The sequence below is a fragment of the Homo sapiens genome, chromosome 9 (genome assembly GCF_000001405.40).
Source record: "Homo sapiens chromosome 9, GRCh38.p14 Primary Assembly".
Classification (NCBI taxonomy): domain Eukaryota; kingdom Metazoa; phylum Chordata; class Mammalia; order Primates; family Hominidae; genus Homo; species Homo sapiens.
The window spans coordinates 86,034,539-86,049,586 of NC_000009.12; the positions used below are offsets into that span (position 1 = coordinate 86,034,539).

The window sequence follows — 15,048 nt, forward strand, 5'->3', positions numbered from 1 at the left end:
AGCATCTTCTTGCTGGGTGAGCACGGAACACAAGGACAGAGCAGGGATACTTAGGGGGAGGCTGACAAAATCCAATTCTTTAACTGGAACTTGGAAGGACACGTTCTTCAGTAAGACACTGAAGTGAAAATTAGATTTAAATGGAATCAAGGTAACTTCTGCAAATAAGTGTATTCTCCAACTTCTGTGACTTGGTCCACCCCAGAGCGCAGGTGTCATGTCCTCAGAAGTGTTCCTGGCTCAGGTGGGAAGGACATTTTCCATATCTGAAGGGACTGAAATACATCCTGGAATAGTCGGTTGATCTCCAATTCCTACCCTTTATTTCTTTAAAAAGAAAAGAGTCAACCAAACCAAAAAGGAGTGATTCACATGTCATTTTTTCTCAATGTTCACATATGCATTAACCTTCATCTACCCAATATTCCTTCCTTCCTTCCTTCATTCATTCACTAGGCACTGATTGTCTAAATGGCACCAGACACTGCACGACGGTGGACATACAAAAATGGGGCATGTGGCCTGCCTGCCAGGAGGGGGCGTCCACTTGATGCTAAGCACCCATCTGCAGGCCATCCACTTGCAAGGTCCCCTCGACTCCCTGCCAATATTGCATCTAAAACCTCGAGTTCTAGAGCATATGCTGCTCTTCCTTCCTGCCTCCCTCTTGATAACGAATAAGAAACCTTCAAACGAAAAGGAATTGGCAAATTGTGGACTGCTGTTTGGTAAAATTCAGGGTGATATGTTGGTGCTGGGAAGGACATGGAGGTGGGCTGGGTGTCTGGTGGAAGGGAGTCCACAGCGGCCCCCGAAACTTCACACCCACCTTCCCCGGCAGCTTCCTGCTCCTCCTCCTGTCCGTCGGGGATGACAAGCTGGTCTCGCTCAGGGCCCTCCATCTCTGGATTTTCCTGGCTCACTGACAGGGCAGCCTGCACCTGTGGGGTCTGGCCCAGTTCTCCGGCTCCCCCGAAGCCTCTTCCACCTACAGGTCTGTCTTCCACCACCTGCTCCCGGCCTGGCTCCTGCGGCAGCCTGTCCCTCTGAGGCTCCTCATTCACCACCTGGATCTCATTGGTTTCCTCTGTGCACAGAACACAGTTAGCTGTGACCTTGCCAGCATTTGATTTAAAAAAAAAAAAAAAAAAAAAAGCAAAACCTGGTGCCACTCAATTCCCAGAGCCTTCCCAAGGAGTGGGGGTGGGGTGGGCTGCACACAGGAGAACAACCAGGTAGCTCCTTTTGTGACCTCAGCCACAGACTGCAGGCCTTTCTGTGCCTGCAGCTCATCGTCAGAACCGCGACAAAGGGAAAAGTAGCTTACCAAAAAAAAAAACAAAACAAAAAAAAAAAAACACCTGGACTAAATTACCTTGACAAGGTACAAAGGGAAAAGGGTATCCTGCTGAGTGACCTGATCATCGGGTCCGCTGGAGCAAGCACTTGGGAGCCAGGGCAGGCAGGCCCACCCAGGGCTTGCTCACAGACACAGCAGCCTCCTGGTTCCCAGTGTCTGGGGCTCAGCCGCCTCCCCCGAGTCCCACAAGCCCACCAATGTCCTGCATAAAGGTGCAGCCTGGGCCTTTCTCTACACAGCTGCCCAGGAACAAGGCACTTCGTTTACAAGGAGGAGACATCTGTCAGAGAAGCCCCAAAGCCCCAATTCCAGGGGCCCAGAGAGACACGTCCCTGCTCCTGGCTGCGCCGCTGCCGGGTTCACTGACTGCCTCAGCAGCTCGCTGGGACTGCTTCCTCTGATGGGGCTCTGGAGAGCTGGGAACAGGGCAACTGCTGGGCTCTGCTTACCTTTCTCAACTTGTCTCTTTGAATCCAAAACCACTTCGGAACTGGGGGCTGGTGTCTGGGACTTGCTGTTACCAAGCACGTTTCCCTTCCCTTGTGGCACCTCTGTGTGTGGCAGGCCTGCTGCCTGCAGCCTGGGCTGAGGCTCACTGAGGGCTTGGAGCTGAAACAGAAGCACAGGACAGCCAGCCAGGGCAGGGCTCTGTGAACAGAAGCCGTAAAAGAATCCTACCAATGCAATGAATCCCACCAATCCCACCACCATATCCTTCCAACCAAGACCCCGAGAAACGCCACAGTCTACTCTGGTCACGCCCTGGTCATGTGGCGTAAATCAGAAGACAAGAGGTTGAGTCAAGGTCTCCCAGAAAGTACTGTCAATACAGAATAAAACTGGGCAGTGATTCTGCTGAGAGGAAGCATTTACGGAATAATAAAATACCTAGGCGGAAGATCAACAACAAAAAAGACATGAACGACACAATACTCCTTGACGAAACAAACATCTGCAGAACCCTCAGCCTAGCAAGGGCAAACACACCTGCTTCTCAGGCACACACACAATATTTTCCAGGATGGACAAATGGCAGGCCACAAAGCAAGCCTCCATACACTTAAATATTTAACTAAAATCACACAAAGTAAATTAATAGAAATGGAATGGATTATAAATCAATAACAGGATGAAACTTATGACATTTGCAAATATTTGGAAATTAAACAACACACTCCTAAATAACCAGTGAGTCCAACAATAAACCACAACACAAATTAGAAAATGCTTGGACAGCCAGGCGCGGTGGCGCACACCTGTAATCCCAGCACTTTGGGAGGCCGAGGCAGGCAGATCACCAGAGGTCAGAAGTTTGAGACCAGCCTTGCCAACATGGTGAAACCCCATCTCTACTAAAAATACAAAAATTAGCCAGGTGTGGTGGCAGGCACCTGTGATTCCAGCTACTTGGGAGGTGAGGCAAGGAGGTGATTTCCAGCTGAGGCAGGAAAATCGCTTGAACCTGGGAGGTGGAGGTTGCAGTGAGCCAAGATCATGCCATTGCATTCCAGCCTGGGGCGACAGAGCGAGACTGTCTCTCAAAAAAAAAAAAAAAAAAAAGAAAATGCTTTGCCACAAAACAAAAACACAGCATACCAAAACTTATGGGAAGCAGCTCCAGCAGTGCTTAGAAGAAATGTACACCTTCAAGCATCTGTATTAGAAGACTTCCAGTTTTCTGTTCCTCACGTGAGAAGCTTAAAAGTCACCACTTAGTCCTAACAAGTAAAAAACTAAACAGACTGAAAAGTTATCAGCTCTTCTTGGATCCATAGGAGAGGTGAGGACAGAGTGTAAATCACTGTCCTTAAGCCTGGAGACAGACAGCCCAATACAGAGAGTCCCGGCTCACCAGGACAGGCTTGGGCAGACATCACCACGGGAACTGGTGTCAGGGTGGGAGAGCCTGACCCTGTCATTTATGAACTGTTTGAGGCTCAGTGTGGATGAGTCTGAGAGTTAAAAACCTGCCCCAGCCAGGCGTGGTGGCTAATGCCTGTAATGCCAGTACTTTGGGAGGCTGAGACGGGCTGATCACCTGAGGTCGGGAGTTCAAGACCAGCTTGACCAACATGGAGAAACCCCGATATACTAAAAAATACAAAATTAGCCAGGTGTGGTAGCGCATGCCTGTAATCCCAGCTACTCGGGAGGCTGAGGCAGGAGAATTGCTTCAACCCGGGAGGCAGAGGTTGTGGTGAGCCAAGATTGCGCCATTGCACTCCAGCCTGGGCGATAAAAGCAAAACTCCAACACCAAAAGAAAAAAAAAAAAAAGAAAAAGAAAAAACCTGCCCCAGTCATAAGGGACTCCCATACTTATGAGTTTTACCCCTAGGAGCTCAACCAGGCTCTCAGTGAATATTAGAGAAAGGCTCTCAGTGAACATCAGAGAAAAATCGGCTTGTGCTTCCAGCAGTGTGGCGGGGAAAGGAACCATTCTGAAACAGGCCAGAGTGCTCTATTCTCCTTAACCAGGCCGGCCCTCACGAGGAGCGCATTACCCAGAGCTCCTGCGGGCATATTATCTGAGCCTAACTGACCTGGGGGAATGAAACACCCAACTCCAGTAAGCTCTAGACTTCCACGTGGGAGAAGGAAGCTACTCAACTCCAGCCCATTCCAGCCACTTTGTCCCACTGGGGTAGGGAGTGGGTACTGAAGAGAAGCATAGGGGACATTCACAGCCAAGGGACTCAGGCTCACTAAAACACTCAGGCTCACTAAAAACCCTCATACTTACAGCACACTGATTTCTGACAAAGGTGCCAAGACAATTCAGTGGGGGAAAAGCAGTCTTTCTTTCAACAAGTGATTACTGAGACAACTTGATAACCGCACACACACAAGAATGAAGTGGGAGCTCTACCTCACACCATATGCAATAATTAAATTAACTGAAAATGAATCACAGGCTTAAACGTAAGAACTAAGAACGATAAAACTCTGAGAAGAAAATGTAACAGTAAATCTTCAAGATCTTGGGTCAGGCAAAGTGTTACTAGATATAATACCAAGAACACACAACAAAAGAAAAAATAAATAAAATGGGGATTTTGTCAAAATTAAGAACTTCTGTGCTTCAACTAAACACCAGCAAGAAAGTGAAAAACCCCACAGAATTGGGAAAAAAAACTTGCAAATCATATATCCATTATCATATATCTTTAATAAAATAGATTTTAAAAACTCTTACAATTCAATAATAAAAATAACTCAATTAAAAAATGAGCAAAGGACCCAAATAGACATTTCTTCAAAGAAGATATACAAATGGCCAATGAAACATGTGAAAAGATGCTGAATATCATCAGGGATATCACAGTTATTAGGGAAATGCAAACCCAAACAACGAGCTGCCACTCCACACCTGCTAGGAAGGGTATCATGAAAAAGGTAGTATCAAGAGTTGGCAAGGATGTGAAGAAACTGGAGCCCTCATAAACTACTGGTGGCAGTCGAAAATGGTATGGCCACTTTGGAAGAAGTCTGGGAGTTCCTCAATAGGTTAAATATAGATTACCATATAACCCAGCAGTTCCACTCCTAGGTATTAACCAAGAGAAATGAAAACATATGACCACACAAAAGCTTCATGTTCATACGGCATTATTCATAATAGCCAAAACATGGAAACACTCCAAATGCCCATCAACTGATGATGAATAATCCACATGTGGTCTATCCACAGGATGGATTAATCAGCCATTAAAGGGAATGCAGTACAGACACATGCTGCAACCCCGATGAGCCCTGAGGTATTCATACTCAGTCAAAGATACCAGACAGTCCGGGCGTGGTGGCTCACGCCTGTAATCCCAGCACTTTGGGAGGCCGAGGTGGGTGGATCACTTGAGGTCAGCCGTTCAAGACCAGCCTGGCCAACATGATGAAACCCCGTCTCTACTAAAAATACAAAAATTAGCCAGGTGTGGTGGTGGGTGCCTGTAATCCCAGCTACTCGGGAGGCTGAGGCAGGAGAATCGCTTGAACCTGGGAGGCAGAGGCTGCAGTGAGCTGAGATCGCGCCACTGCACTCTGGCCTGGGTGAGAGAGCGAGATGCCCTCTCAAAAAAAAAAAAAAAAAGTCAGACACAAAAGGCCACACATATATGATTCTATTGACAGGAAATTGTCCAGATTAGGCAAATCAAGAGACACAAAGTACATTAGCAGTTGGCTGTCTAGGGCTGTGGGGACTGAAGAGAGAACTAAGGGATACACGGTTTCTTTTGTGCCAATAAAAATGTTCTGAAATTGACTGTGGTGATGGCTGCATAACTTTGTGAATATACTCAGAACCCATGAATTGTAAATTTTCTATGGGTGAATCATAGGGAATGCAAATTATATCTTAATAAAGCTGCTATATTTTTAAAAAACTACTCAAAGATCACCCAGAAGGCTTCAAGCAGCAGCTTCGTGGGCTGTGCTCTGCACAGGAGGTGGAATGACAGCACGAGACATGGAGTCGGCCAGACCTGAGGTCTTGATGGGCTCTACCACTGACCAGGTGGTGTGACACTGGCCACAGAACTTAACCCCTCCCATGGGGCTGGGGTCCTCAAGTCAGGAAAACAGCAACTCTCTCCCAGGCTGGCTGCGAGCTTTAAATACGATAATTCCCGTAAAGCCCTGAGCTTGTGAAGCGGGGCTGGAGGTCAGAACCCTTGGTTAGGGTCCAGTCATCCCAGTACCAGGTTCTGCTCTGTTATATCTCAGGGAGCCAAGCCCGCAAAGGAGGGCAGAATCCAGAGAAAGCCAGGCGGCACATAAAAGAAACAAAATGCCTGAAGATAGGGGTACCTTCTAGAAACTCTTGGCAAAAATTCCCCAGTTACCTGCTGTCTCTGGTCGTTGTTTTCACTCAGGTCTCTGGAAGCTACAGCTTCATTCCCCTTTTTGGTGACCTCTTCTATTCGCTCCTCACACTGTTCCTTCACCTCCTTCATCTGATTGATGCACTGGCTCCTTTGGTGAAAGAAAGCAAAGGAAGGGCCTGACGTCTATGACTGTGTCTCTGCTGGACGGTGACATCCACTTCCATAAGAGACACAGACCCTCTTCCTGCTTCAGGCACTTCATCTGAAGAGGGCACTTAAGACAGGGCAACACGGGTGTGTGTTCAACAATTAAATGACCAAAAGAAACACACTAAAAATCATCATCCCATTGTTCTAAAACAGTGAACTTTACTGATTAGGCAGAAAATTTTTTTTTAACATACAATCTGTAGAATAATAAAAAAAATATGTATTGGTCTTTGTCCCTGGCTACTGGCACAGAGCTCTTAAAAGCCTTGGAAGTTCCTGAGTGGATATCTGGCGATTCACAAGCCCCTCTGGACCATACTTGAGTTTATACTAATAAGGGGGTCTTGGAGGTGGGGAAGGATGGGCGTCAGATAGTTTCAGGACAGAGGCTGACTGCCAGAGGAACTAGCCACATGACTGGAAAGTTGGAACTTTCAGCTCCACCTCCTCCAGGGAAGGGAGGAGTGGAGATTGAGTTCAACCCTGTGGCCGATGGTGTAATCAATCATGCCTACATAAAACACTCAGACAAACTCCGGACCAGAAGGCTTGGGGAGCTTTCTGGCTGGGGAGCCTAACGATGCACTGGATGGGGGCGGCTGACTCCACAGGGCAGCCGTTCCTGTCTCCCCCCGGCGCCTGCCCTCACCTTAGGACTCTACCACTGGGCTGTTCTGTAAAAGTCAAAACAGCTTTCCTGAATCATGTGACAGTCATCCTGGCAAATTATCAAACTGAGGGGGTGGCGGGTAACCCTAAAGCTGTAGCCAGCCAGGCAGAAGTGAGGGTGGCTAGGGGACACATCAAGACTTGTGGCTGGCATCTGAGGTGGGAGCAGTAGTATGGGAGGGAGCCCCTTAACCTAGGGGGTCTGTGCTAAGTGGGTAGTATCAAAACTTGAACTGGGGCCAGGCGCAGTGGCTCACGCCTGTAATCCCAGCACTTTGGGAGGCTGAGGCGGTGGATCACGAGGTCAGGAGATGGAGAGCATCCTGGCTAACACGGTGAAACCCTGTCTCTATTAAAAACACAAAAAATTGGCTGGGCATGGTGGCGGGCTCCTGTAGTCCCAGCTACTCGGGAGGCTGAGGCAGGAGAATGGCGTGAACCCGGGAGGCGGAGCTTGCAGTGAGCCGAGATCGCGCCACTGCACTCCAGCCTGGGCGACAGAGCGAGACTCCGTCTCAAAAAAAACAAAACAAAACTTGAACTGGAGGACACTCGGTTGAATTGCTATTGCATTGCTTCAGCTTGCTGCCTGGATTTATTTTAAGAGTATTTTGACAAGTGCCAGAGCTATGAAGTAATTAAGAGAATTACCCACTCGTTTTGCAAATAAGAATACTAAGGGGTGACATGGTTGTCTGGCATGGACCAGGGTCAGAGGGAGGTGGAAACTGAAGCCAGACTCCAGGGCTCCTTACTGTTGTGCCCTCTCCACCACACAGCTCACCTTTTCTGAGTTGCAGGCATTTCAGAGCCAAATGTGAGTGAGTACTACATCAACCTCTGACTCTTGGAATATACCCTTGAGTTCAAAGCACCACTGGGTCACAATGTACCACACACAGAGAAGGGAACCAGGTGCTATGGAAATAATGCAGTGCCGAGTTCCTGACCTTGAACAGCTGACAGATCAGGTGAAAATTTCATTTAAATACAATTCTCACAAATATACAAGCCACAGGTGGTAGATTAGTGCACAGGAGCTGAAACATAGCGAACAAAAAGCTGTCTGTATACTGTAGAACTAAATGAGCAGGTCGTTTGCTATCCCTGAACCTTTAAACCTGCAAAAGGGAAGTACTGATTGCACCTGCTCCCAGCCCTGCTAAAATCAAGTACGAAGAGCCTTTATCTCACAGCCTTGCAGATCAACTGGGGCTTTCCATGTTCCAACTTGAGAGCCAGGAACAAACTACCTCCATCCTCAATTCTGAGACAAAGGTCATGCAGATTGTGACAGTGTTTCTTCCTGAGGACTTAGGTTGGCTTTTTCTTACATGTAAGTGGCAAATATTCCAGCACTAACTGGAGCTAAATTGGAGAGGAATACAGGACTTGGCCACTAGTGATTATTCTAACTGGTGCAATTGATGGCCAGAGTACCACTGATGGAATGTGTTCAAGTACAAGGATCTATCAGGGCAGGTGATCCCATCACCCAGGGCACCGACCATCACTGTATTACTTTATATGCCAGTGTCAACATTGGAAACTGTCTCCTCATAGCAGGGAGATGAGATGGCGAGCGGTTCATCTCATGTGCTGACTCCAGGTGCTTCAGGGAGAAAGAACGCAAGGCTATTTTCGGATGGAGTGCAGTGATTGCTTAGTGATGCCTGCCACAGGTGTAGGAGAGTAAAAAGTGGGATGTGTGCTGACTGATTCAAACGGAAAGAACACTACCTTGTACATCAGGAAACCTGGCCTCTCCATCAGCTTTTGTGTTCTCGGCACTGCCTTCTATAGAAGGATTAGACCAGACAGGATGTTTTAAGGGAGGGCGTGCAGATATGTTTCAGAGGCCCATATAATTTGCACAAATTGCACACTTTAGGCAGGTGTCCATTTATAAGTTTGCTAACAAAGTGTTCGTACTTTTTATCAGATTCTCTAAAAGGGCCTATAATCCAAAGAAAGTGAAGAATAACTAGCTTTTTTTTGCTTCCAACACTCCACGAACATTATCCCTGGGAAGCACTGCATATCTGGTACACGGCCTTGGGCACAAGTAGTGAAATAGGCACAGTCAGCCAGAAAGAGCTTTCAATCTAGGTATCAACCTGCCAGGAGCAAAAGGAGTGCATCCTACATGTGTCTCCAGCCCAGCTCAGAGGTGTCCACCCATCGCCTCGGCCCAAGCTTTCCTACATGGGGAGCAGAGATTCCTTCCCTGTCACTGGATCCTGACTGATTGCCAGCTAGGTCAAAACCTTCTCGGCCAACATTTATCAAGTGAGGCCATTTATGGCTTTTTGTGTTTCAATCTATATGAGGGAAATATTTGCATTAAGGTTTCTTTAAGGATGAATAATAAGACTGAGGTACTTCATTTCTGTCTAAATGCAATTCTTTAATTATGAGCCTAACTCAAGGTTTCTCAACCTTAGCACTGTATATGTTTTAGGCCAGATAAAACGTGACTGTGGGAAGCTGTCTTGTGGATTATAGGATGTTTAGCAGTGTCCCTGACCTCTACCCACTAGATGCCAGTAGCAGCCTCCTTGTAAGCCATGACAGACAAAAATGTCTCCAAACATTGCCAAAGGCCTACTGGGGACAAGACTGCCCCCACGTGAGAACCACTGGCATAGCTGAATAAGATTCCACACACAAGTGACAATCACATTTCCCTTCTATTGACTGGCTGCTCATGTCCTCTACAGAGACGTGTACTTGGGGCTTCATGTTTTCAGTTGTATGTGGTTATAAAGTTAGTAGGAAGATATTACGGCAGGTGGACAATGTTTTGGAGGAACATGGAAATGCCGAAGAACGCAATGCACGTGAGGCAACTGATTCTCCCAGGTTGCTGGTGACCACACAGATGGCTCAAATCCTTTCAGAATGCAATTTGACAATTCACACCCAGCAACAAGCTAAACTACAGATGAGCCTTTTAGAAGGAAATAATCCAAAATGGTAATTTTTAAGACAATTAGGAGCTATACGGATGTTTTAAATATAATGCAAGTAATGTAATTTTTTAAATTTAAAAATTAAAAAATAAGAGGCTGGCCGGGCACAGTAGCTCACACCTGTAATCCCAGCACTTTGAGAGGCGAAGACGAGCAGATCACTTGAGGTCAGGTGTGCGAGACCAGCCTAGCCAACAAGGTGAAACCCCATCTCTACTAAAAATACAAAAATTAACCAGGTGTGGTGGCACGTGCCCATAATCCCAGCTACTCGGGAGGCTGAGGCAGGAGAATCACTTGAACCAGGGAGGCAGAGGTTGCAGTGAGCTGAGATCGTACCACTGCACTCTAGCCTGGGAAACGAGCTGTGAAACTCCATCTCAAAAAAAAAAGAGGCTATAGCTAATGTGTTGTCATTATTTAGGAGACAAATTATGGCAATGGATATTTTTATCCTTAAAATCCCTTTTATCATCGCATGTCTATCTAATTTTACTTTTATAAATAAAATTTTTGTGGCTGGGTGCGGTGACTCATGCGTGTAATCCCAGCACTTTGGGAGGCTGAGGCAGGCAGATCATGAGGTCAGGAGTTTGAGACCAGCCTGACCAATGACAGGGTTTTAGTAGAAACCCCGGGCGTGGTGGTGGGCGCCTGTAGTCCCAGCTACTCAGGAGGCTGAGGCTGGAGAACTGCTTGAACCTGGGAGGCAGAGGTTGCAGTGAGCTGAGATTGCACCGCTGCACTCCAGCCTGGGTGACAGAGCAAGACTCTGTTTCAAAAAATAAAATAAAATAAAATGTTTGTGACTAAGAATATGGCCGGGCACAGTGGCTCACACCTGTAATCCCAGCACTTTGGGAGGCCAAGGCAGGTGGATCACCTGAGGTCAGGCGTTCAAGAACAGCCTGGCTGACATGGTGAAACTCCATCTCGACTAAAAAAATACAAACATTAGCTGGGTGTGGTGGTGGGCACCTGTAGTCCCAGCTACTCAGGAGGCTGAGGCATGAGAACTGCTTGAACTTGGGAGATGGAGGTTGCAGTGAGCTGAGATTGTGCCACTGCACTCCAGCATGGGGGACAGCGAGACTCCGCTCAAGAAAAAAAAAAAAAAAGTATATACACACACACACACACACACGTACATAACGCAAGTAAAAAAATGATTAAATTTTTTTGATGATGACTGCAATTAAGTAAACATTCATGTGAACTTGGGCATGGACTGGAGAGAGGTAAGTCAAAGGGAAAAGGACAGTCATGAGGGCTGGGCCATGGGTGGTTGGTTCTCTCTGAATCCCAAACTTCCCACACGTTAGCTATATTGTTTTTATGAGGAAAAAATAAACACAACTTTATCCTCTGGCTTGCAAACTGGCTTTTACTATCTTCCTGCGGGGCTTAGCTCACTTTTTAATAGTTTAATATTGCTTGGTTTTGATTATCAAAGTATTCCATTCTCACTGTAAAAATTGGGAAAATCACTGAAAAGTCTGAAGAAAACAATGTCCACAATGTGATCGCCAGGCAATAAACTATTACTATATCAATATTTTGCCAAAATGTCTTTTAGTCAACGAATTTGATTTAGCTCACGCATGAGCACCTATGAAACACATTTTTAAAGCTTTATGTTGTTGACTTAACCAGTACACCTGTGCCTTACAGAGTTTTAAGTTACATTTTAAGGCATGCTGAGAAATTCATTTCCTGCTGAGAGCTGGCCTCCTTGTGCATTTGTGTAGGACATGAATCCTAGAGGGGCCCGTGCCTTTCTCAGAGTCCCGCACGGAGCAGAAGGTGCATGCTCTATCGGAGGTTACATCTCAGCTTAATCCCCGCCTCCCAGGTGCCGTGCACCCTGCACTGTGGCACGCGCTCTGAGGTGTACTCACAGGTCGTAGGAGAACTTCCTCTCCAGGTTGGTCTGGTTCTTCTGAAACTGGAGGACATCCTGCTGCAGCCTGCCGTAATTCCTCTGCAGGGTCTTTAACTGGTCTACACCAAGGGGACAAGGAATTGCACAGGTCACCGGCACAGCTGTCATGCCATTCAGCCAAAATATGACAGAGGCAGACTCACACATCAGACCATAAAGGGCAAGGACAGATTGGGACAAAGGAGGGGAGAGAGAAAAAGCTGAAAACACAGTCCCTCCCCAGAGTCACTAAACCCCAGCTGTGGAGAGTGCTCTGCAAGAGCAGCAAGCCGAAAGAAGCTGCGTCTTGATCCTTTCCCAAATGTCTCTCTTAAATCTCCTTTTTGGCCGCTAGCCTTTAATGTATATTGGAAGCTTCTGTGTGCCTGTCTCTTTTGTAGACATCATAAGCCCCGAGCTGTCCCCAAAGGTCACACACACCACCCTGCCCTCATCCCTGGCCGACTCATCCTTCCATCTGTAAAACACTGATTTTTGATGTTTGGTCAGATAAGCAGCCACTCCTGCTGGACACCCTGCCCTCGGCCACCAGGCTACCTGCCAGCATCCTCCCTCGTCATTTATTCACAGCCAAGCCACTCTCCAAGGCCCTGTGCCCATTTAATCAACCAACACTCTCATCAGGGAAAGAGCGGCTTTCTTTAAGGAAATTAATCAGCCCCATCCCTGCTGCCCTGATGACTTGGCTCATAAAAGAGCCCTAGCGGACAAAGGGCCAAGCTGGGGCAGAGGGGAAGGCAGCCACCAGGCGGATACCACAGTGGGCGGCAGCAGCAGCCAGGCCCGGACACAGCCAGGACAGACAGGCCAGGACAGATGCAGGCATCCCCAAGGTGGGCCCTCACAACACTAGACCTACAATAGTCTCAGGTGGAAAATAAAGTGAAATAAAATGGAAGCGTTCCGTGAATTACGATACACACAACACGGACTCATCCCAAAAGCACACACGTGACACCCTCAAGAGACAAAGCTGTGGCGAAGAGAACAGCTGGGTGGGTGCTGGGCCTAGACAGAGAGGGGACTGGTGACTTCGCAGGGCATGGGTGGGGGGTCCTGGAGCGGTGGGCAGCTGCCATGTTGACTGCAGTGGTGATCTGCGAGACTATTTGTCAGGACTTATCCAACTGTACCCACGAGGGGTAAATGTTCTTGTATATAAACGATACTTTAATATGCGTAACTGAACACACCCCACAATCCAACTAGGCAAGAGATAACGGAATACAACTCAGCAGTCAAAGAAATGAATGACTTGTATCACAGTGACATGGACGAATCGCAAATAACTATGCTGAGAGAGAAAAGGCAGGCAAAAAATGATAACAGATGGTCTGATTCCATCTGTATGCATGTACCCAATTATTATTATTTTTTAATTATACTTTAAATTCTAGGGTACATGTGCACAACGTGCAGGTTTGTTACATATGTATACATGTGCCATGTTGGTGTGCTGCACCCATTAACTCGTCATTTACAATAGGTAATTTCTCTTAAAGCCATCCCTCCCCCCTCCCCCCACCCCACGACACGCCCCAGATGTTCCTTGCCCTGTGTCCATGTGTTCTCATTGTTCAATTTCCACCTATGACTGAGAACATGCGGTGTTTGGTTTTCTGTCCTTGTGATAGTTTGCTCAGAATGATGGTTTCCAGCTTCATCTATGTCCCTACAAAGGACATAAACTCATCCATTTTTATGGCTGCATAGTATTCCATGGTGTATATGTGCCACATTTTCTTAATCCAGTCTATCACTGTTGGACATTTGGGTTGATTCCATGTCTTTACTATTGTGAATAGTGCCACAATAAACATACGTGTGCATGTGTCTTTACAATAGCATGATTTATAATCCTTTGGGTATATACCCAGTAATGGGATGGCTGGGTCAAATGGTATTTCTAGTTCTAGATCCTTGAGGAATCGCCACACTGTCTTCCACAATGGTTGAACTAGTTTACACTCCCACCAACAGTGTAAAAGCATTCCTATTTCTCCACATCCTCTCCAGCACCTGTTGTTTCCTGACTTTTTAATGATCGTCATTCTAAACTGCTGTGAGATGGTATCTCATTGTGGTTTTGATTTGCATTTCTCTGATGACCAGTGATGATGAGCATTTTTTCATGTGTCTGTTGGCTGCATAAACATCTTCTTTTGAGACATGCTTGTTCGTATGCTTTGCCCACTTTTTGATGGGGTTGTTTGATTTTTTTCTTCTAAATTTGTTTAAGTTCTTTATAGATTCTGGATATTAGCTCTTTGTCAGATAGGTAGATTCAAAAATTTTCTCCCATTCTGTAGCTTGCCTGTTCACTCTGATGGTAGTTTCTTTTGCTGTGCAGAAGCTCTTTAGTTTAATTAGATCCCATTTGCCTATTTTGGCTTCTGTTGCCATTGCTTTTGGTGTTTTAGACACGAAGTCCTTGCCCATGCCTATGTCCTGAATGGTATTGCCTAAGTTTTCTTCTAGAGTTTTTATGGTTTTAGGTCTAACATTTAAGTCTTAATCCATCTTGAATTAATTTTTGTATAAGGTGTAAGGAAGGGATCCAGTTTCAGCTTTCTACATATGGATAGCCAGTTTTCCCAGCACCATTTATTAAATAGGGAATCCTTTCCCCATTTCTTTGGTCAGGTTTGTCAAAGATCAGATGGTTGTAGATTTGTGGTATCATTTCTGTGGGCTCTGTTCTGTTCCAATGGTCTATATCTCTGTTTTGGTACCAGTACCATGCTGCTTTGGTTACTGTAGCCTTGTAGTACAGTTTGAGGTCACGTAGCGTAATGCCTCCAGCTTTGTTCTTTTGGCTTAGGATTGTCTCGGCAATGTGGGCTCTTTTTTGGTTCCATATGAACTTTAAAGTAGTTTTTTCCAATTCTGTGAAGAAAGGCATTGGTAGCTTGATGGGGATGGCATTGAATCTACAAATTACCTTGGGCAGTATGGCCATTTTCACAATATTGATTCTTCCTATCCATGAGCATGGAATGTTCTTCCATTTGTTTGTGTCCTCTTTTATTTCATTGAGCAGTGGTTTGTAGTTCTCCTTGAAGAGGTCCTTCAC

At 46.4% G+C, this 15,048-nt stretch overlaps 1 protein-coding gene across 2 annotated transcripts in view, besides 1 other annotated feature; it reads right to left on the reverse strand.

Moving 5' to 3' along the window:
- GOLM1 (golgi membrane protein 1) overlaps window positions 1–15,048 on the reverse strand; it is a 74,004-nt gene that overhangs the window by 8,393 nt on the left and 50,563 nt on the right. For both annotated transcript variants that reach the window (NM_177937.3, NM_016548.4), the window contains exons 5-8: window positions 11,932–12,034; window positions 6,201–6,330; window positions 1,810–1,969; window positions 830–1,087 (exon numbers count right to left, since the gene is read on the reverse strand). In NM_177937.3, coding sequence (NP_808800.1) covers window positions 830–1,087; window positions 1,810–1,969; window positions 6,201–6,330; window positions 11,932–12,034 — 651 coding nt within the window. The remainder of the gene's footprint in view (window positions 1–829; window positions 1,088–1,809; window positions 1,970–6,200; window positions 6,331–11,931; window positions 12,035–15,048) is intronic.
- Window positions 1,372–2,307: an enhancer, noted in NCBI's record as "H3K27ac-H3K4me1 hESC enhancer chr9:88650825-88651760 (GRCh37/hg19 assembly coordinates)". NCBI's record gives its function as "activates a minimal SCP1, AML or CMV promoter by ChIP-STARR-seq in primed H9 embryonic stem cells {active_cell/tissue: H9 hESC(primed)}" and the evidence as "EXISTENCE:reporter gene assay evidence [ECO:0000049][PMID:30033119]".